The sequence below is a fragment of the Homo sapiens genome, chromosome 14 (genome assembly GCF_000001405.40).
Source record: "Homo sapiens chromosome 14, GRCh38.p14 Primary Assembly".
In the NCBI taxonomy this organism is placed as follows: Eukaryota; Metazoa; Chordata; class Mammalia; order Primates; family Hominidae; genus Homo; species Homo sapiens.
The window spans coordinates 62,919,259-62,943,397 of NC_000014.9; the positions used below are offsets into that span (position 1 = coordinate 62,919,259).

Genomic DNA, 24,139 nt, shown 5'->3' on the forward strand with positions numbered 1-24,139 from the left:
CTTCACGAGTATGTATTATTTTTACAATCAGAGAAAATGAAGCTATTTTCATTTTATTAGAAAACAAATATACTACTTCCCTAGAGATAATATTTTAATAATGATATAACTGCTCTAGGTCTTTTTCTATATGTTTTATAAAGTTAGAAATGCATTTCTGGGACTCACAGGGATAAAACGAAATTGGAACATTGCAGAGATGATTAAATTGAGAGCATCTCACATTCCAAACTTGAAAAAGGCTGCCTTACCAAGTTCCACATCTTACTAGCTGGGTGGCTTTCTGCAAGTTACTTAATCTCTGTGCGCTCAATTTTCTCTCTTCTGTAAAATATGGGTAATAATAACACTTATCTAGTAAGATTACTATTAGGATGAAATGAATCAATGTCTTTAAAGCTCTTAGATTTATAGCTGACATCCTAGAAAAGAAGTCTGCCGTTCATTGTAAAATGAAATCATACACAATATCTACGTGGCCCATCATGAAAGTACTGATTACTCTTATTATCATGTGTCACCTAAGGACACTGTGAGAGGACTAATAATTTTTGCTGTCCCAGAGTATTGACAGTCAAATAGTCTACTGAGTGTGATTACATTTAAATATAGCATCATCAAACCAAGCGGGGAGAGAGAGAGAGGTCAGCGAAGGCGTACCAGAGAGCCAAAGTCCAGGATATCTGAGGTTGTCCAATTCTGGCAAGGTGATATCAATTACTTTGACAAATCAATAAACTTCTATATTAAACTATTACTACTACCTTGCATTTATACAGTGCATGAGAGTTTTGGGGGAACTTGCCCATCTCCATGATGAGTTGGCAGTCTTTCTGATCATGCTGCCAGTTGAATGTGGGAATGGAGACTGTGCTCAACCAGCACTTTAGGATACCAACTCCTATGGGGGCAAATGGTACAGGGAAGCTAGAGGCTTAGGAAGAATGATGTGGAGGGATAGGGAAAAGAAGGCAGGTCATGGAGAGAAAATAGCCAGGATACTAATGTATGTCAGTAGCAGCAACAGATTAGCAGCCCCCAGAGAAGAGTTTACATCGTTTCTGAAATTCTCTACTAAACTCTGGAAAACTTACTCTGAGAACAATAAAAAAATGGGAAAAATGAACCTTTCAGGTTAAAGCAGGGATGCAGGGTGGGGTAAACTTTTTCATTCATTTATTCCAATGTGTCAACTGTGCTAAGTGCTAGGCTTATAATGGGGTACAAAACCCTCACATAACCTCCAGTGTGATGCCCTGCCTACTCACCTGCCTTACACCTCCCTGAGTTCCAAGATAATCCCTCAAGAATCTTCGACCCGCCTGTGCAACTTAAAAATCACTAGATTCAGTGTTGTTCTGGGTTCAAAAAAAATGCTTGAAACAAACTGATTTAGGGTATGTTTGTATCAAGAAATAAAAATTACAATCTTGAAAATGAGAGTCATAAATCATGAAATCTGAAAGACCAATCAATTATTCAAAGCCATTAGATCTGGCTTTATGCAATAAAGATCTGAATTTACACAATAAGGAAAAAATACTGTCTGAAAATGAAAATAGAAACACAGAGATATACATATTACCAAAACTCCCTAAGTCAGAGGTCATGCATTCATCTATAAACTTATGAAACATTCTTATTACACAAAGAAATTATGCAAACTGCAAAAGAGCTTTTTGTTTCAATAAAGCTATTAAATGCATTAATTGCTCTGTGTTATTACTTAAAGGCAGCACAATTAATTTGTCATTCCTACCAATGCCTATGTGTTTTTGTATGGCTCTCTCTCTTTAGCTATCCCAAAGTACTTTCCTAAACATTTATTTTATTTTTATCCTTTGTTGTAGAGCTGCAAAACGTGTTTCATCACAGACTGGGGAAGCTGACATAAGTTCAGAAACAAAAAAAAAGTCAAATGTGGTTCAGCATGTTCCGTAATTAAACACAGTTGCAGGAATGGGAGGCTTCGTTTTTCACTCTCTTGCTATCAAAAACTTACCCACTGATCCAAAGTAAAAATAAGAGCTAAAAACCTGTAACTTTTCTAAATAGAAAGAAGATAAATTAAAATCTGTTCTTTAAAATACAGGAAAGTATGATTTATGTTTTCATGATTTTGAAGGTACAGTCTCAAAACCTTAACTGAATGCATAATGTCTAACAGACCATTAAGTAATGGGAAGAAAATGCCAAGTAAAGGGAAGAAAATGTTTTCACTATCACCTAGAAATTGAATGTGATGGAGAAGGATTTGGAGATGACTTCAGCCTGGTTTTATCAAATTATGAATCACCAGCATTCTGGGAAATCTGGACTAAGCCATATGATTTCTCATAGCCATAAATGACCCAGGAAAGCTCTACACCTCTGGACATAGGAAGAACAGACAACCATCCTGCAGAAATCAGAGCAAAAAACACCCTGAAACAACTTCCCAACCATTTCACTGGCTGTTCTGAAAGACTTGAATGAGTCACGACTGACCTGGCTCTTGGGGTTCACCAGCCTAGTTATGACCTGATTTCACAATGGACAAAGAAGGACAGATCTTTTTATCTAACAGCCTTGTGGAGCAAGATTTGATGAATAAAATACATCTTAAGTTGACCTCTTTTGACAGGAACAGACACATAGGGGCTGGATTTTGAGTATTCTGAGAATAGTAACAATAATTTTGTACTTAAAAGCTTAAAACATGCTTGCAATGTTATTTGACTAGATCTCATAACAACTGTGTAACATAGGTAGGACTATATAATTATGTCTAGAACCAGAGCTCTTTTTCTGGCTTATTATCCTATGATATAATAATGCAAATGATATACATTCTGGGTTCCACCTTATACAGTGCATTTTTAGATTCAGTTGCATATAGGGGTCTTCCTTTGTAATCCCTGAGGTTTTGAGGAAAGGAAAATAATTTTACTTGATTTTTTTAATCCTTAGACGTAGATAACTGCATTTATATCTATATCTATAGCTCTATCTATAGCTACATCTACATCTTTATCTGTATGTGTATCCATCTACATGCACAAAGATATGTCAAGGAACTGAAGACACAAATATGTATGCAAACATAAATTTACATTATATAGTAGACATGCATATATATGAAATATTCCAAATAAGCATGTGACTTAATTATTAATAGTTAAATTAACACCTATAAATTCTTTGTTCTCAGTTAAGCAAAGTGTAATAGAATAAAACCAAAGCACATTTTCAACATGTTAAGTGTTGGTTGTATCTAATATCCCTGATGAACATAGATGCAAAAACCATCAACAAAATACTAGCAAACTGAATTCAACAGCATATTAAAAGGATCATACACTATACGCCATGATCAAGCTGAATCTATTTCTAGGATGCCAGGATGGTTCAACATGCACAAACCAAAAAATATGTTACACCACATTAACAGAATGAAGAATAAAATTTTCATGACCATCTCAGTAGATGCAGAAAAAACATTTGACATATTTATTGATAAAAACTCTCAACACATTAGGTATAGGAAGAATATACCTCAACTCAATAAAGGCTATATATGGCAAGCCCACAGCTAACATTATATTCAACGGTGAAAAGCTTAAAGCCTTTTCCGTAAGATCAGAAAAACAAGAATGCCCATTCTCACCACTTCTATTCAATATAGTACCTGAAGTCTTAGAGCAATTAGGCAAAATAAGTAAATAACATCCAATTTAGAAAGGAAACAGTAAAAGTGTCTCTGTTTGCAGACCTTATATATAGAAAACCATAAATCTTATATACAGAAAAACATATATCTTATATATAGAATAATCATAAAGACTTCATGACAAAGCTGTTAAAGCTAAAACAAATTCAGTACAGTTGCAGTATATGTTATCAACAAACAAAAATCAGTTGTGTTTCTATACACTAACAATGAATTATCCAAAACAGAGATTAAGAAAGCAATCCCATTCACAATAGCATCAAGGAGAATAAAATACTTAGTAATAAATTTAACTATGGAAGTGAAAAATCTGTACACTGTAAACTATAAAACAGTGGTGAAAGAAATTGAAGAAGACACAAATAAATGGAAAGACATCCCATGTTCACAGATTGAAAGAATTAATATTGTCAAAATACCCACCAAAGGAATCTACACATCAGATTCAATGCAATTCCTATCAAGATTCCAATGACATTTTTCAGAAAAATAGAAAAACAATTATAAAATTCATGTAACCCATAAAAGACCCTGAATAGCTAAAGCAATCTTGTGCAAAAAATACAAAGCTAGAGGCATTATTCTCTCTGATTTCAAATTATATTACAAAGCTTCAATAATCAGAATAGTATGGTACTGGCATTAAAACAAACATGTAGACCAATGGAACAGGACAGAGAATCCAAAAATAAACCCACACCTGTAAAGTCAACTAATCTTCAGCAAAGATGCCAAGAGTACACAATGGGGAAAGAACAGTATCTTCAATAAATTGTTTTGGGAAAACTAGTTATCTGCATACAAAAGAATAAAATTGGGACTTCATCTCACATCATATCCAAAAATCCACTCAAAATGGATTAAATACTTGAACATAAGAATTGAAATCATAAAAGTCCTAGAAGAAAACATGGAGGGAAATTTCCTTAAAATTGGTCTTGGCAATGATTTTTTTGATATGACACCAAAAGTACAAGCAACAAAAGTAAAAACAAACACGTGGGACCACATCAAACAAAATAGTTTCTGCACAGCAAAAGAAACAATTATCAAAATGAAAAGGCGACCTACAGAATGGGAGGAAATATTTGCAAACCACTAATCTGATAAGAGGTTAATATCCAAAATATATAAGGAACCCATACAACTCAAAAGCAAAGAAACAAATAACCCGACTTTAAAATGGGCAAAGGACCTGAATAGTCATTTCTAAAAAGAAGACATACGAATGGCCAAGAAGCATATGAGAAGGTACTCAACATCATTAGTCATTAGGAAATGCAAGTCAAAACCACAATGAGATGTCACCTCACACATGATAGGATGCCTATTATCAAAAAGTCAAAAGATAGCAATTGTTCACAATGATATGAAGAAAAGGGACCACTTATACACTGTTGGTGGGAATGTAAATTAGTACAGCCATTATGGAAAACCGTATGGAGGTTCCTCAAAAAATTAAAAATAGAACCACCATATAATCCAGCAATCCCACTTCTGGGTACTTATCGAAAAGACATGAAATCAGTATTTTGAAGAGGTAGTTGCACTCCTTTGTTCATTGCAGCATTATTTACAATAGCCAAGATATGGAATCAACCTAGTGACCATCAACAGATGAATGAATAAAGAAAATGTCTATATATTTTTAAGTATTATTAAGCCTTGAAAAAAAGAAAATCCTGCTGCCATTTGCAATAACATGGATGAACCTGGAGGACATTATGTTAAGTGAAACAAGCCAGGCACAGAAAGACAATGCATGATCTCACTTACAAGTGGAATCTGAAAAAGTTGAACTCATAGAATCAGAGTAGAAAGGTAGTTACCAGGTACTTAGAAGTGGGGGAAATGGGGAGATTTGATCAAAGGGTATGAACTTTCAGTGATAAGATGAATAAGTTCTGAAGACCTAATGTATAGCATGGCGACTATAGTCAATAATAGTGTATACTTGAAATTTGCTAAGAAAGTAGATCTTAAGTATTCTTACCACACACATAAACATAAAAGGTAACTGTGAGGTGGTGGATATGTTAATTAGCTTCATTGGGATAATCACTTAAGAATATACATATTTCAAGACATCAATCTGCACATTTTATATATATATAAAATTTTTATTTGTCATAGTTCTGTGAAAACATAAAAATAAACAAACAAGAAATTGATTGTTTGCCCTGGTGCCTGTAGACCACATTTTGTTGGTTAACCAGAATTTAGATCTATCACTAAGACTAAGGGAGAGAATACAATATAAATTACTGTTTAACTAAAAGACATATGTTTTGCTAGCCCACTTCAACACTAATTAAAGCACACATTCATTTTAAAATGAAAATAAACTACAAAAGGTTTAAAACAAACTAATGTATGGCATTAAACCATATGGTCTTTCTTTTGTGTAACTGTAGCTTGCATATTTAACTCTTCATCTAAATGTTTCCTTCTCCTCTTTCAAAATTCTCCCAAAGTATACTATTATATTTATCCTTTCCTCTTGAGTGTTATAATGAATATTCTTCAGCATCAAATTTTTGTCAGCCTAAAATATACTTACATATGTTATATAGGTATACAGATTTTGATACATACTCGTTCTGCATTTCACAGGTAAAGACAGAAAAATAAAATATTAACCAACCCCATCTCAGCACCCCTGGCACATATACCTGATTTCTTTTAGTTTTTACATTCCCAATAAGCAGCCATTGTCCTTTGTGCCCACATGTGTATGATCCACAGTCTGGATCATAAGACCACAATAAAGCTTGTAATCAAGCCTTGTAGACATAATTGTGTACTCTGAAGTTAGATTCCCAATTATGGATTTCCACAGACTATAAATAATAGTTAAATGGTTGAGTGCTCTCTGACATAAAATTAAAGAAGAAAGAAATTCCCACATTAAGAAAAACACGACTTGGAAAAATCAGATAAAAGTCCTTACAGTGCTGGCATTTTTTGTCAATGTATAAATTAGAGGCATAGACAAGGTATTCTTCTCACCATTATAGACTTGCACAAGCTTTAAGAATGACAAAGGCCATATATTGATAAATATTGTACGAATGCTTCATATATGCTAAAGTAACATACAATAAGCATTTCAAAATGTTTCAGCAGAAAATATTGCAAGTGGATGGTATAGAAGGAAAATAAGGGGAGATAGAAAAATAAATGATGCAAGGAAGACAAGAAGGATAGGCTTGCATCAGCTCTAGAGAATTAAAGAAATTAGTGCTAAGATATTTGATAAGCTAGAAGTATACCTTCGTAGTTGCTCTGATAAGTTCTTGAAACTTTTAGGTGGTCATCAGCTCAAACCACTATGTTGGATTTAGTTTAAAAAGCTGCCGGTATCTCAAAGCATAAATGAGAATTTTTTCCATGCAACTTAGGAAATCTAAAGTCCCCAAAGAAGTAATGCTTGTGCACATGCACACACACGCACACACACACATGCACACGCATACATAAAATGCTAAGGACAACAAAAAGGAGAAAGAAAGAAGAGCCTTGGTGTCTTAGTCCATTTGAGCTACCATAACAAAAAGACTGAGTGGCTTGAACAACAGAAATTTATTTTTCACAGTTTTGGAGGCATGAAGTCTGAGATCAGGGTGCCAGCATGGTCAGGCTCTGGTGAGGGCCCTCTTCCTAGCTTGCAGACAGCCAGCTTCTCACTGTGTCTTCATATGGTGGAAGAGAGTCCTGTTGTCTCTCCCTCTTCTTATGAGGAGACCAGCTCCACTGGATCAGGGCTCCACTCTCATTTAACCCATTTAATCTTAATTACCTTCTTAAAGGCCCTGTATCTCATACAGTCACATGAAGGGTTGGGATTTAACACATGAAATTGAGGGAGACACAATTCAGTCCACTGCATCTGCTTCTTTGGTTATGGGTCAGTGTTGATGAATGATGCAGAGGACTCACAAGTCCTTGACTCCTGCTCTGCCTGTCCCCATTTCACACAGAATGACAGATTATAACGAGCAGAATGTGGATTATAAGCACTGCTGAGAGATGATATAAACCCAATAAAAGGCAAACATTTAAAAAGAAAACAAAAGCTCAACAAGAAGAAAACAATCAGATTCAATAAAGGGCAAAGAACTTGAATAGACCCTTCTTCAAAGAACATATACAAAAAGCCAATAGTCACATGAACAGATGTCCAACATCAATAATCATTAGGGAAATGCAAATCAAAACTACAATGAGATACTACCTCACACCATTAAGATGGCTACTTGCAGAAAATAACAAGTGTTGACAGGGATGTGGAGAAACTGAAACCCTTGTGCACTGTTGGTGGGAATGTGAAATGGTACAAGCACTGTGGAACACACTGTGGTGGTTCCTCAAAATATTACAAATAAAACTACCATATGATCCAGCAATTTCACTTCTGGATAGATATCCAAAAGAATTGAAAGCAAGGTCTCAAGGAGATATTTAGACACCCATGTCTATAGGAGCATTATTTACAGTAGCTAATGTGGAAGCAACCAAGTGTCCATCAACAGATGCATGCATGAACAAAATGTGGTATATACATACAAAGGAATATTGTTCACCCTTACAAAAGGAAAAATTTGACATATGCTACAAAATGGAGAAATCTTGAGGACACTATGCTAAGTGAAATAATTCAGTCACAAAAATACAAATACTTTTATTCTACTTCTATGAAGCACCTAAAATACTCAAATTCATAGAGACAGAAAGTCGGATGGTGGTCTCCAGGGGCTGAAGAAAAGGGGAATGGAAGCTATTGTTTCATGGGTAAAGAGTTTTTGTTTTGCAAGAGTTATGAGGCTATATAGGGGTTAAGGATGTACAACATTATGAATGTATTTAATGCCACTGAACTGTATCCTTAAAAATTGTTAAGATAGTAAAATTTATGTTACATATATTTTACTGCAATTTAAAAATGATGGGTTGTGAAGAAAACAAAACATTAATAGCTCTAAATGAGTTCATGTGTTCTAGCCCCATCAGATTTCATCCCGACACTGTGAAGAACGTGCCAGAGAGATAACTATGCCACTGCCAGCTATGTTTGAAAAAGAGTTGGTAAAAGACTAGAAATAAGGCAAACCCAACTGTAGTTTTCAAATAAGAATATGAAAATATGGTGAATTCCAATAGGAGACCAGTGAACTAAGCATTCCTGGACAAGATTTAGAATGGATAAGCATCCAGAAATAAGAGGAGTCAGCACATGATCCTGCAGAAGTCATGCGGTGATAACCTCATTTCTTGCTTAATAGAGTTAACATGTTTTTCAGATTTATCTATACTTTGGTGAGGTGCTGAAAAAGATCTTCAATAATAGCCTAGCAGGGAAGACTGGATGCTCATTCAGTTAGGTAGATTCTTAATTAGTTGCAGGACCTTACCAAAAGATTATGACTGACAATTAATGAGCACCTGAATAGAGGTTTCTAGAAACAACAGCAAATATTTATTTAGCATTTACAATGAGCCAGGCATTATTTGGAGCATTTTATATGAATTAATTTATCGGGTTTTCACAACAATCCTATAAGATACGTAATAATATTACTACCCCATTTTACCGATGCGGTAACTGAGGTTTAGGGGTTTGTAAGAGCGTTTGCCCCCAAGATTACATCAAATCTGCTAAAGGTCACCAGTGACCCTAAGATTGCAAAATCCAATGATCAATTCCCAGATTTTGTCTTGATTGACCTGTAAGAGGAACTTCCCATGGCTGCTCACTCATCCCTCCTTGAAACACTTTCCTCAGCTGACCTACAGCATACCTCACTCCTAGATTTCTTCCTAACTCACTTCATTCTCAGTCTTTTTGCTGGTTTCACCTCATCTCACTGACCACTACATATTGCAATGCGCCAGAGTTTAGTGCTTAGACCTCTTCTCTATTCACATTCAATATCAAGGAGGGTTCAACCAGTCTCATGACTTTAAATATCAGCTCCGTATCAACAATTCCAGAATGTATGTGTCCAGCCAGGACCTCTCCCCTGAACTCCAGATTTGTCTATGGGACTGCCTACGAGACATATGTACTTACGTGTCTATGCAGCGTCTCAAACTTAACATGACTTATCAAAACTTAGCTCTTAATTCTAGCACATCTCTCTCCTCTGTTTTCCCCAAATTATTTCCCATCCTTAAGAGATATATAAACCAAAAAAACTCTTGGAGTCATCTCTGATTTCTCTCTGATTTTAACAACCACCCCCCGCATCTAGTCTGTCAGCAAATCTTGTTGGCTCTATTTTCAAAACATAACCAGAGTCTCGCCACTTCCTGCCACCTCCATTGTTACTATCTTGGCCCAAACCAACATCGTCTTTCACTAAAATGATTGCAATAGCCTCCCTGAATTATCTTTCTCCATCCCACCTTGTAACCCTAGGGTTTATGTTCAACACAACAGTCAGAGTGATACTGTTAAAATATGTCATATCATGTCATTTTTCTACTCAGAATGCTCTAGAAGTCTCCATCCACAGAACAATGGTCACCAGGGCCCTTCATGGTCTGGTCTCATTACCTTTCTGACTTCGTCCTGCACTATTTTCTCCCTTCCTCACTCTTATCTCAGACACTCTGGTTGTTCAATTTATAATGAGGACATAGACTTTAATTATGATATTTTTGAACCTCTCTTTTTTTCTGAAGGTAAAATAAAAACTCTTATTTTTCTTATTCTTTCTTTTTCAACTTTTATCTTACATACAGGGAAGATACGTGTAGATTTGTTACATGGGTATATTGTACCCAGGTAGTGAGCATAGTATCCAATATCTAGTTTTACAACCCATGCCCCACTCCCTCCCCCTCTAGTAATCCACAGTGTCTATTATTCCCATGTTTATGTCCATGGGTGCTCAATGTTTAGCTCCCATGCAGAATTTAGTTTTCTGTTTCTGCAGTAATTCACTTAGGATCACAGCCTCCAGCTCCATCCAAGTTGCTGCAAAAGACATGATTTCATTCTTTTTTGTGGCTGCATAGTATTCCGTGGTGTATATGTAGCACACTTTTTAATCCAGTCCACCATCGATGGACACCTAGGTTGATTCCATGTCTTTGTTATTGTAAATAGCACAGCTATGAACATACAGGCACATGTGTCTTTTTGTTATAATGATCTCTTTTCCTTTGGCTATATACCAAATAATGGGATTTCTGGGTTGAATATTAACTCTGTTTTAAGTTCTTTCAGAAATCCCCAAAATGCTCTCCACAGTTGCTGAACTAATTTACATTCCCACCACAGTGTAGAAGCTTTGTTTTTAACACCACTAACCATGATGATTTTCATTAGTCAGCTTTGCCTCACTTTAAATTTCTGTAGGCAAAGTTCTACCTGACAACAGAAAAATTCCACGTACCACAACAGGGAGACATTTTATTTTCATTGCTGCTCAGCCAGCAGATCATACTGTATAAACCTATTTACTTGAGACTCAAGCCAAAGATTTTAAAGGCAATGTTTATATAACAATGTTCATAAGATACAGCTTCACAAGCATCCCAGTGATTTAAACTGAAAAGCAGCTTTCATCAAAGGCACATATGTTCTGATCCTACACTGACTGCCTCAGGCAAGTATGCCACTTGACAATATTTTAGCCCAAACACAAACTGAAAAACACCTGTAACAGGTTTACCAACAAAATTCACACAGCATTGTGAAGAATTCCCTGTGCACTACAGAATGCTGTTTACTAAAATCTAATAGAACAGGAATTCAGCCCTCATTTTTTTAAATTTAGTTCACAGTACTGAATGAGAGTGATTTTTCATCTCACTTCTCTATTGCTGTCCACTTCTAGTCCAATGAGTATAATAGAAACCTGACTTTAAGAAATGCAAGATATTTAGGTCCAACTTTATCCATGATGCTGGTACATTTCATGCCTTCCTTTAACTCTAAAGTATTAACCCTATGTGAAAAGTTTAGACCCTTGACTCAACCTACATAATGACACAGTGCTTGATCATTTTTACAGTGCTAATCCATATATTTAAGGGATTGGAGAGAGATACCTGCCGGAGATGGGCTTCAGGAATGATGTAGTATCAGGGATGGCCTGGATCTAATGAGTACAGAGAAAATGATCGAGCAGAGGTTGTATATAACAGCAGAGGACTTCCAAAAAACAGAGACCATGCAGAACAGCTGGGAAGCCAAGCAGACAGTAAGTAGACCTACAGGTTAAATAGACAGATATTATAGCAATGAACCTCTGATGGATTTAGCAAGGTTGGGATATTCTCTAGTGACAAGTAGCTTGAGACAAATGGTAAATAGCAATGGGAAAGTTTTGATCAAGAGCTACATAAATCCGGATGATAAACACATGACAGAGGAGCATGAACCAGCAGAACTAACAGACCTATGCAAAGAAGCAGAGAGACTCAGCCAGAGATAGAGGGTTGACGACATGTATATACCTCTGTTTCCTCTCAAAACTCCACAAAATAACAGTAAATGGATTGCGTAAAGCCATAAAGCCACAAGAACAAACAGAACAGTAGAACAGACAAAAGCAACAAAAGTTTGGAAGCTGGAAAGCATAGGACAAGTAGTAACTAACTCATCAGATCCAAGAAAGCTGGATCTTAAACCAGCAGAAAGGAATGATAATTAACAATCTGATATGCAGTACAGAGCCACTAAATATCCCAGGAATTGTCACCACCAAGTACTTTGGGAAGTGAAGGAGCAAAGGTGGGGCTAAAACTAGAGGATTTATTGAAAGTCTGTTTAAGAAACAGATGGACACCTACCCCTCCAGATGCCTTCCCTAATTCCACAGAGCCAGTCAATTTCCCTTTTCACACTTCAGCAGACTAGAGAGGATCCCTGCAATGAAGGAAGAGCAGAAAGTAGGGGTTTCACACTGAAATCAGGGGTTATGTGAAAGCTTACACACTGAGTGTCAAACCCTCAGCTCTATTCTCCATTCAGCTTCCAGAGAGATCAGTGCAAGGGCTATGTTCTCCAGGCTGGAAACTAGAAAATTCCTCCCTGAGGGAATTGGCAGCCTAACAGAAATGACCCCAAAATACTGGTGTTGAGGATTTTCCACAAAATAACCCAATTAGATCTCCCTACATAAAGTCCACAGCCACAAATCAGCCAAAAACAGACAGCCAGGATTCCGAGGCATCTGCATAAAGCCTCCACCATGAGAAGCAGAGACCAAAACCAACAAACAAAACATCATCTTGATAGAAACAGACTATGTGGGGATAAGAAAACTACACATAAACTTTCTTATACCCTCAGAAAGAGAAGAGGAGATTTTGCACTCATGAAGTGAAAACACAATGCTATGAGAAGGAACACAGAGAAAAGGCAAGAGCTCTTGGAAATTAACGTAGGCAAGCAGAAACAAAAACTCAAAAGAAGGATTAGAAATTGGAATACACGAAAACTTCTAGACCATAGAGTAAAAAAGATAAAATCATAGAAAACTGTAGAAATGAGATTAAAAAAAAAAAAAAAACTAAAAAACCAATCCAGGAGATCCAATAGCCAAATAATAAGAATTTCAAGAAAGGGAAAAAGATAAAACCAGGAGTAACTTGTGAATGAAATAACTCAAGAAAATATCCCAGTAGTGAAAAATAGGCATTTCCAAATGATTACACATACCCATTGGGATGAAAACGAATCCATAGAAAGATACCTTGTCATAGTAACCTCACAATACTGGGAACTAAAAAAAGATTCTAAATGTTTCCAGAGTGGAAACAGAAAGAAAAACATAACATTTATAAGAATCAAGGCTCAAATGGAGTCCTCTGAACAGTTCCATTAGAAGTTCAAAGACAAAAGAACAGTGCACCAAAATTTTCATAAAATTATTTCTAACCTTTAAATCTCTACCCAGACAAGCTATCAGTTAAGTGTAAGGATAAATGAAAGACATTTTAAAACACGCATAATCTCAAAAAATTCTTTTATCTATACTTTCTCTAGAGGCTACTATAAGAGGTGTTCATTCAAAACAGATATAGGAAACAATGGGTCCACAAAAGAGAAAGGCAAAGGGACTCCTGGAGATCAGGGCTAATGGGAGACAACAGGCTGAGGGCTTTAAGTCAAGCCTGGGATAGTGCAACTAGAGAAAGTCAGAAGGCTCAAAGAAAGAGCCCTCCAGAGATAAAAAGTTATAACCGCCTAATGTGAGCATGATGAGGTTAGAGTTACAGAATGGAAGAGAATTTGGTAATAAATTTAAAAGAAGCAACATAAGAAACTAAGAAAAAAAATTGTGATAATGACTACACTAGGGGAAATCAAATGTTGTACAGGAAAATAATCACAGTATAACATATGACTCAGTTGTAAATAGCATATACCTAGTCATAATAATGAAAACAGCTATTGATTATATCAAAATTATGATCTAAATATAGAGAAGATTTAGAAAATTGGAAAATGCATATATATGCACATATATATTATGTGTGTGTGTGTGTGTATGTGTGTGTGTTTATGTGTGTGTGTGTAGTGGTAGTTAAGAGACATAGGACAGGAAAGAGAATTATATAATTTTATTTTCATCTTCCAAAGATGGAAGTCAACAGACAATGACTAAAACTGAAAATTCTCTCCAATAATCATGTAAAAACAAAAAGATAAATGCCACCAAAAAAATGAAAATGATTTGAAAGTCATCTCTGGGAAATGTCTAAAGGCATGAAGATCAAGGAATTTCCATTTTTCAAAATAAACCTTATAGCGCTATTTGGTTCTTTAAACTACATGTATGTATTACCTCGATCTAAAAATTAAATTTAAAAAACTACAGTCAGATAATCTGAATTAGCACACAGATTAAATGAAAAAGAAGGCAGGAGAACCAGAGACGTGGAAAATATTTGAGATTTCCTTCCCTTCATCTGTGGGCCCTGTGTTCCTTCCGGTTTATCTCAGCTCTGTCTTCCCTGGTATTAGCCATTACCCAAATCCCAGTAGAATCACCACTTTTTCTCTGGAAACTTCTCTCTAATGACTGAATAAATTAGCAGTTCAAATTACGCAGCACAGAAAGGCTCTGATCAAACATCAGAAGCTACTGAAATCTCCCTGTGAGTAAATGGACACACTTTTTTCAAATGCAGATTTCTTTCTTTCTTTCTTTCTTTTTTTTTTTTTGAGATAGAGTCTCACTCTGTCACCCAGGCTGGAGTGCAGTGGCATGATCTCACTGCAACCTCCGCCTCCCGGGTTCAAGCAATTCTTCTGCGTCAGCCTCCCTAGTAGCTGAGACTACAGGCGCAAATTTCTTTAAAACACACTTATATAGTTTTGTTTCTTTAGCAAACACCAAAAATGATATTTGTGCTTCTCATCTAACTTGAAGCAGTCCTGACCTTGTGTTGCCCTCTATAGAAGAGACTATCCAAATTTCATAATCAAATGCTGCCCATAGTACAGACAGTTGTTTCCAAACCATTAAAATTCCCAGGTTGTTCTCTTCTGTATCCAATGAACAAAGAAAGATTGGAAGTATGGCAAGTGCATTTATGCCAGGCCTCAGCATGATCGAGGATGAGGGACACACAGGTGCAGAGTGTTTTCAGTCCCTCTAATTCCTAGCTCTTCCTAATGACCCTTTTGCTATCCTCTCACTGAAACAGTGGCAGTCACTTTTCAAGAGGAGTGTGGTAACAGCTGAGAACAAAGAAAGCAGCTTAGCTTTGAGTTTCAAATTAGACTTTTTTAAAGCCCATAGCCAAAACAATAATCTTAAAAGCATAGATTTCCTTTGCAAGTGCCAGGCCCTCGAGATAGCAAATGGTTTTTTTGTCGTCTTTCTTGTTGTGTTTTGTTTTCACTTTAAAATCTTAGTTCTTTTCCCAGAAAACATGGGGGTGGGTGGCAGTGAAACATAAGAGGGCAGAATAAAAGGAACTATAGGAGGTAACAAGAGAAACCCAAAATAGGTTGAAGGGAAAATCAAAGGCAGCAAAGAAGTATATCCAGCTTCCCATCCAGAACTCTACAACATGATAGACACAGAGTGGCCAGTACAGCCATAGCACAGATGTGGCAGTCAAGCGTACTATGAAAGGTGGAAAAGTGGGGGGATGAGGGAAGAGGTCCTAAACTAAGTTATTAGCTCTGTACAGAAAAATGAAATCAGTCACATGTTCATTCACCTATGTTTCACTGTATGAAAATTTAAACCCAAGACTGAAGAATTTAGGTCTGGAGAACTAGTATGGTTTTGAATTTACAACTTTACAAATATGGAGATCAAAATACATTTATCTCTTCAAGGAGGATTTACTGAGCACCTGCTACACTCCTGTTATGCTAGGGATACAGAGTGGAACTAGAAAGACAAGTTCCCTGCCTTTGTGGCTCCATTTTAGTTAGAAAGACAAGCAATAATTACATAAAGAAAGAATTAAAGAATATAATTAGAGACCATGATGAAGAAATAATGAAGTATAAAGTAATAGGGACACTTCAGACAGACTGGAGGAAAAAGGTCTCATGGCAGTAAACGAGGGAAAAGGTGGTGTGAATTAATAATCCCTGGTTATTTTTCCCACAGAGCTAGGAAAAAATAAAAGGCTTCTCTTCTTCCTCTTGGCATCATTACCTTAGCTCCTTCCCACCCCTGCCTGCCAAGCGGCAGCCCATGCTCCAGACGTCTTCTCCACCCTCCTCTGAAATCTCAACAATTATTTTCTCTTCATTGAGACACTGTGCCAGTTTAAAACTCAGTCCAATCTGGTACAGAGATGAGGAACTTACATCCTTTAGAGGACAAAATGGCAGCTTCAAGGGGCCTTCTGGAGTCAAGAACACATGCAGCAGGATTTCTAATGGTGGACCATTGAGCAAAATATCTGAGAGTCGGCTGGCTCCCATGAAGTCACTTTTTGTGGGAGAAACTGCTCAGCCTATCAGGAGAGCTGCCCTTGATCTTTCAATAATTTGTTCCCAATATCACAGTTTTCAATATTTACGACAGCAATGCAGTAACATGATCCAGCAAAACAAACAGAGAAGAAATAGCAAGAGAGGTCAGGGGAGAGCCAGAAAGAGAGAAATATTAAAGAAGCCAAAGAAGAAGTACTTCCGTATGCATGAAAAAGTGTCTATGAAATCTAGCAAATGTACTCTGAGAGGCAGTATAGGAGAAGAGGCCCATTTTCAATAGGGAGTAAATGAAGAAAAGGAAGTGAAGACACATGCTTTAGAAAGCTTTAAAAGGGAAGAATTGCTGGGTAATAAGGCAAAGAGAATGCAAGGTCCAGGTCAAGTGTTTTATTCACATATGTATATTAGCTTAGGATTAAAAAGACATGAGCATGTTTATCAGCTGAAGAGAAAGAGCCAGTAGAGAGAGAGAGAGATGGACAATGCAGAAGAAAGAAAAACAAGCTCAGGTGCAGTGGCTCACACCTGTAATCCCAGCACTTTGGAAGGCCAAGGCAGGCGGATCACTTGAGGTCAGGATTTCAAGACCAGCCTAGGCAACATGGTGAACCCTGTCTTTACCAAAAAATACAAAAATCAGCCGGGCATGGTGGTGCATGCCTGTAGTCCCAGCTACTTGGGAGGCTGAGACATGAGAATTGCTTCAACCTGGGAGGAGGAGGTTGCAGTGAGCTGAGCTCACGCCACTGCACTTCAGCCTTGGTGATAGAGCGAGACCCTGCCTCAAAAAAAAAAAAAAAAAAAAAGGCCAGGCACGGTGGCTCACACCTGTAATCCTAGCACTTTGGGCGGCCAAGGCAGGCAGATCACGAGGTCAGGAGTTCAAGACCTGCCTGACCAACAGGGTGAAACCCCGTCTTTACTAAAAATCCAAAAACAACATTAGCCAGGCGTGGTGGCACATGCCTGTAATCCCAGCTACTCAGGAGGCTGAGGCAGGACAATCACTTGAACCCAGGAGGCAGAGGTTGGGGTGAGTGGAGATCACACCATTGCACTCCAGCCTGGGCAACAGAGTGAGACTCCATCTCAAAAAAAAAAAAAAAAAAAAAGATGAAGAAAGAGGAGGAGAAGGAAGGACAAACAATTAGAAGGGAAAAATAATCAAGCTACAGCACAAATCTATGTACAAATCCGGGGCCACTTCACAGAATGCTAGAATCGTATATGTGACTGCCCACTGGACACAACAAATGACCATCCATCGCTAACTTAAGAGCAGTTGCTTGCCCTGAAAGCCTTAAATCCTGACTCTCTTTCTCTCAAACCCTCATGTTTTGCTGGTCTTACCGTATGTCTGGAATCTAACCAATCCTAACCACCACCATCATCATCTCTCTCCTTGACCTGTCTGTCTTCTTTCATTTTTGACCCTGTACAGTCTATTTTCCACACAGCAGCTGGATTGGTATTTGTAAGACATAAGACAAATCAAGTCAATCTGGTCTGAAACCCTCAAAAGTCTTCCCATCTGGCTCAAAGTAAGGGCTACTATCCTGTCCTATAAGGCCCTGAATGGTTTGCACCCTTGGCCACCCCTAGCCCACCTTCCTAAGGGGAGAGTCAGGAGTGTAAAGGAATGCACATCTGCAACACATTTCTTTTTCACAGAAGTAAAAGGAAGGCCATCTGCTGCAATGAAGATGAGTGGTCATAGGTTTCGGAAAGGAGGAGAACGTGTGCAAATTGTACAGGAATTGTTGCTCAGCAAAATGTTACAGGAAGAAGATTCGTAAGATTGCTAAACATTCATTTTAGGGGCAGCTGTTCACAAGGCTGTCTAGTTGACTCCAGCCAGTGCTCAGCAACCCTGGAACAGAAAAAGAGACAAATAGATCCAGATGGAGTTGTTAAGGCAGCAAAAGGGCACAGGATGAAGGAATTTGGAGTGTCAGTGTGTGCCTGGGGAGGAGGGTCTGCTATTCTCTAGCTGGGTCCTCATAAGGGAAAGAAGTTGGGGAAACAGACCTATGAAGGGACCGTTTGGACCCTTTCTAAGGAAACCAACAGGAAAACTCAACAGCCCAGTCTAAGAAAAGTTCCCGAGGTCTACTATTCCCATACCGAAGTCTCATCAGAAGAGTCAATACCAGACCTGCCTCCTTTGCTGATGCCTAAATAGGGGCATGAATTTAAATGTCTTTCCCTTACAGGACACTTTAAATGAGTAATGGTCCCAAATTAGACCTTCACAGCTTAAGATCTGGTGGGGGGGTGTTGTTAAAAATAAGCTCAACTTTAAAGGAGATAGAGTCTAAAAAGGGTAGCTACAGAGCCAGCTTCAAAGGGAATTTTTAAAGCCTCCAGTATTTCCTGAGAGTCCACTTAAATATAGTTCTCACCCCATAAAGATCTCCTTACCTACACACTCAGCCTAAAGCTACCACCATGTGCCTGGTACCTAACCTTCCAGGGAGGGCTAACTCAGTTGTCACAACATATGAAAATATTAAACAAGTAGGTAAGAAGAAGTCACTTAGGAGCTGGCTTAGAAATTACTCCAAATAAAATCCCCTCTCTGGCCATATCAAAGAAATCCTTAAATCCATGCCTAAAGGCCTTTGGTATGACATTTATTTTAATAAGTTCTAAATATATTCATCTATGAATTTGTGAGTCTTTCGGCCTGTGAAAAAACATTTAAGTATTACATATTAAGCAAAATTAAAATCAGATGTCAATTGATGGATATCACATATGTGAGAATCATCTACATCCCCACTGTCTGTTCTACACCAGAGTATCACTTCACCTACCAGGTGACAGTGTGTCCTGAAAAATATTTTCTCATAGGAATTAATATTAAATTCATTGGAAAGTCACCAAATAAGTAAATAAAATTCTCCTCTGACTAAAACGTCTGTTCTAAGAAAGTTCAATTTCATACAAACTTCTAAGCCAATGCTACCTTTCGTTTTATAACACAAAAGAGAAATTCTATGTCTATGTTATGCATCTAATAATCGAACAAGTATATTTTGTTGAATTTGAAATTTGATTTAGAAAAACATATTGGCTGTGAAAATTACTGCATCAGCATAATCTACCTCCATGAAGTTAATGGCTAATAATACATTATTTTCCTTCATATAGGAGAAAAAACGGTTTGGACCCCATGAGTTCCCCATGTGGCTCTCTCCCCTCAACTAGCCAATCAAACAAGTCAGATAAAGTCACTGATGACCTCCTAAGGCCTCCCAGATCTCTTCTGACTTCCTCTCTCAGTGGTCCTGTTGTTCTCCCTTCCTTCTTAAAGCTCTCTCATCCTTTGTTAGCAACAGACTCTCCTTCCAGAGTCATGCTTCCATTCTACCTCACTGGGTTCTCTTCTCAGCCCCTCTGTGGCTCTCCTTCTTCAGAGTCTACTCTTGGCCAGCTTTATGCTGACTGCACCGTACACTTCCTTGACATGATTACTTTCTATACATTGTTATTCCCAAAGAGATCTCTCTGTGCCTCATAGCTCTGGAAACCAGAACCACATTTCTAACCACCTAATGAACATTTCCATCAGAATAACCTGCAGGAAAAAGAACCACTTTCCTCCAGTAATAACTGCACCTTTTTCCTATTTTAGAAAAAAGCTTCATCATACATTCAGCTGAATTTGCTAGAAATCTACAAGTGCTTTTGAACTCGTCCTTCTAAAATACCCCACATATTCATTAATTCACCCATAAAAACATTTTTTAAAGTTTCAGGAAGCTTGGCTGGGCATGGTGGCTCATGCCTGTAATCTCAGCACTTTGGGAGGCCAAGGCGGGTGGATCACCTGAGGCCAGGAGTTCGAGACCAGCCTGACCAACGTGGTGAAACCCCCAACTCTACTAAAATTACAAAATTAGCCAGACGTGGTGGTGCATGCCCGTAACCCCAGTTACTTGGGAGGCTGAGGCAGGACAATCATTTGAACCCAGGAGGCGGAGGCTGCAGTGAGCTGAGATCACACCATTGCACTACAGTCTGGGTGGCAAGAGCAAAAATCTGCCTCAAAAAAAAAATTTTTTCAGGAAGCTTACGTACAATCTATTCTGGAGTATCAAAAATAACTCTGCAAAGTAGAGACTATTATCTCCATTTTACAAATGATGGTTTACATAACTGATATAAATTCTTATAAATTATGATGCAAAAAATTGAACCTAGATTCATTTGTCTGACTCCAAAGTCCACAGTCTTTTCACAAACCATGAAACCACAGACCACGTGCCAAATCTGATCTGCCACCTGCTTAAAGTTGTATTGGAACATAGCCACACTCATCTGTTTACGTATTGTTTATGGCTGTTTTAGCACTACAAAAGCAGAGGTGAGTAGTTTGCAACAGAGACCATATGGCTCACAAAGCCTAAGATAGTCACTATCTGCCCATTTACAGAAAAAAAAAAAGTTTGCCAACTCTAAATCTATACTGTCCTCCATATATTTACCACCTCAATTTATGTCTTCCTGGATTGCTGCAACAGTCTCCTAACTGGTTTCTCTGCCAGTAGCCTTTATCTCCTCCAATTCATTGTCCACAATAAAGAATCAAATTTTTCTTATTTATCCCACAACCTTTAGGATAAAAGGCAAACTCCTTGTGAAGCTATGGAAAGCTTTTTGACATCTTGGTTCTTTCATTTCTTTCCATTCACATCTACTTTCCACTCAAGCCAAAGTGAAATGCATGGAGTTCCCCGAAAGGGCCAAGCTATTTGATGCCTACATTTTTGCATATACTATGTTCTCTATACCTGGAAAATAGCTAAGTCCTGCCTCATTTACCTACTTATTTTGTATTCTGAGCTCAAGAGTCACTTTCTCCTAGAAATCCTCCTGGGCTCCCTCAGGCTGAACTAGGCAAACATTTTTATTCATTCATTAATTCATTCAACATGTGTTCAATGGGCACAACCATCAAGTAGGAGATAATGCTTTGTGCTAAATACACAATGATGAACAGGACAAAGACAGATCCTCTTCTCACAAGTCCAGCTTCTTTATTCCCTCTTAATTCATAGTATAAGAACAGATGAGACGAGGATGAAGGCAGAGGTGGACATTGAGATGGGGATGGAGAGAGTAAGGGAGAGACAGATGGATCAGTGATTTTCTTGTTTGACCCTCTTACCACATTAAAAGGTTATTGAGGGCTCAAAAGTATCTAGTGTTTCTTAAATACCAATGTATACCAGAACACCTGGCACAAGGCTGAATGAATTAAATAATTTTGAGTGATACAAGGACACAAGAGATGAAGATCCTTGTAAAACGTTCAGGCTAGTTAATAGGCTATCAAGAAAATGTCATGCTGTTTTCTGGGGAAAGTCAACCTTTACAGAATTTGAGAGGCTTTGTGAAAATGTGACTAGGAATGAAAAGAAAGATGGGTATAAAAGAACATTCCTGCAAAAGACACAAGCCCTAGTTGGAATAAGAATCAGGGAGTAAAGTGTACATCACACAGTCTTTTTCTAACTACTGGACTACACATCTGAGACTGCCCTGGACTACACATCTGAGACTGCTAAACCATGATAAAAGGTGCCTATAACCCTGAACTTGGGGCTCCATAAAATGTTTTTTCTCATGCGAAACTCAGCTCATTAAAGAAAAGAAAAAAGACAAAGTTTTCTTTACAAGCTATGGTAAAGCAGACACAAAGAATTGACCCAGTTTCCAAAATAAACATTAGGCTTAAAGCTCTCCCCATCTGGCTAAAACTAAAGCCAGAAATGAAAATCAGCATGTACACACTGCATTTTCTACCTACACCGCAATAACAAGGCCAAGACAAATTTTAACATGTAACTTAATATTATACCTGAAATACCTGAAGTCGCATATTAAGATTTGTAGAATAATTTTTTTCTAATATTAGGAAAGGGCAACAACCCACTTTTAAGCCTGTCTGGATATCCACCTAGGTCGAGTACCTCTCCAAGTCCAAGTCCCACTGGGCATGGTGTGCAGTCTCTTCCTGGGCCCTGATCCTTTACCCTGAGACACATGCCTTTCAGTCTTCCTAGCTGCCTAATTTCTATATGGAAAAACACTTCTCTTTCCAAAAGCATATTTTCTTTTCTCCATAATATTTATTCTCTGACAACTTTTCCTCTTAACCTTTACAGAACATTTTCTATAGAAAACACATCTTATTCTCCATAAAGCAATGTATGCACTATATGTAAAAAGCCCTAACATCTTTGTGACACCACTTTCTTTCCATCTTAACCTCATCTCCAATAACCAGCTCCATGCCATGGACAGGGGCATAAATGCACCAATAGAACCTTAGAAGTATAGAATGTTAGTCCTGAAAGGGACCTTAAAAGTCACTGATTTCAACTTTGGCATTTCACAATTGAAAAAAATAAATAAAGCTCAGAGAGATGTAAAGACTCTCCAGGGTCACACGGGCCTTTGCTCCCAACTTACTCTATATTCTCCCAATTTCTGGATCTTACCATCTTCTATTTATTTCCTTTTCCGGTGGGGAGAAGTCAGGGCAATGCCCATAACCTCAGCTTGACTTTTATCTGAATTCCACAGAGGATGCTGAATAAACTCATCAACATGAGAATACAGTGTGTGGCATTGGTCTCCTCTGTATGGTGCTGATTGACCAGTGTGCAACTAAATGCTTCCCAGTTGCACTTAACCGCCTACATGAAGATTCAGATTTCTTGTCATACACATCCCACTGGCAGATGGTCTTGCTATACTTTTAGATGTGCTAAACCATTTGTCTACTGCATTACAGATCATACTAGTCAATTACAGAAAGTTTTTAGATGTTTACGTGATTACCAATTACATCCTATTTGAAAATTGCAGATTAGCATCATTATGACAGGGCTTCCTGTCTACCAATTAAACCCCAGCAATTTTTATATTTATAATTTTTAGTTTGGTTTGTTTTGCTTTATAAGACTCAGTTTGCATTGCATCACAGCAGGACAAATTCTCATTGACATATACTGCATGGGTCAGCCTGTCTCAATTTACCAAAGCAGACAATAGAAAAAGTAGAAAAATGCTTTTAGAGAAAATGAATACCCAAATTCCAATCTCATAGCCCTTTGACATATGCTGAATACATATTTAATAATGTACTTAACAGTGTACTAAAACATATATATGGAGAGAGAAAAAAATTATGGTTGAACTTATGGCAAAGAGTTATTCAAAACATATTTTTATTTTATATGTTTCTTTCTTTTAGAAAATTATAATGAAATATGCAGATGTAGAGTCCCTTATAACGGCTGGATTAAACTAAAATACAGTTTATATGATAATTTAGCAATAAAGAAGGGACTAAGTAACTGCTTTCTTGATAAATCTTTGGAAGAGGATTTTTAAAAACATATGAAGACAAGAGTATAATCCTATTAGAAAAATTCCATCATTGCATTCCTTTGTTTTATAGTCATCAAAATAAATCATCCACGTACTATGGTGCC

General features: G+C 37.5%; 1 protein-coding gene across 3 annotated transcripts in view, besides 1 other annotated feature; it reads right to left on the minus strand.

The window, feature by feature from the left end:
- KCNH5 (potassium voltage-gated channel subfamily H member 5) overlaps positions 1 to 24,139 on the minus strand; it is a 345,995-nt gene that overhangs the window by 219,795 nt on the left and 102,061 nt on the right. The window lies entirely within an intron of this gene.
- Positions 6,195 to 6,364: an enhancer, noted in NCBI's record as "experimental_34948 CRE fragment used in MPRA reporter constructs". NCBI's record gives its function as "activates a minimal promoter by MPRAs in K562 erythroleukemia cells, with activity observed for the introgressed 14:63392256 variant allele {active_cell/tissue: K562}" and the evidence as "EXISTENCE:reporter gene assay evidence [ECO:0000049][PMID:34662402]".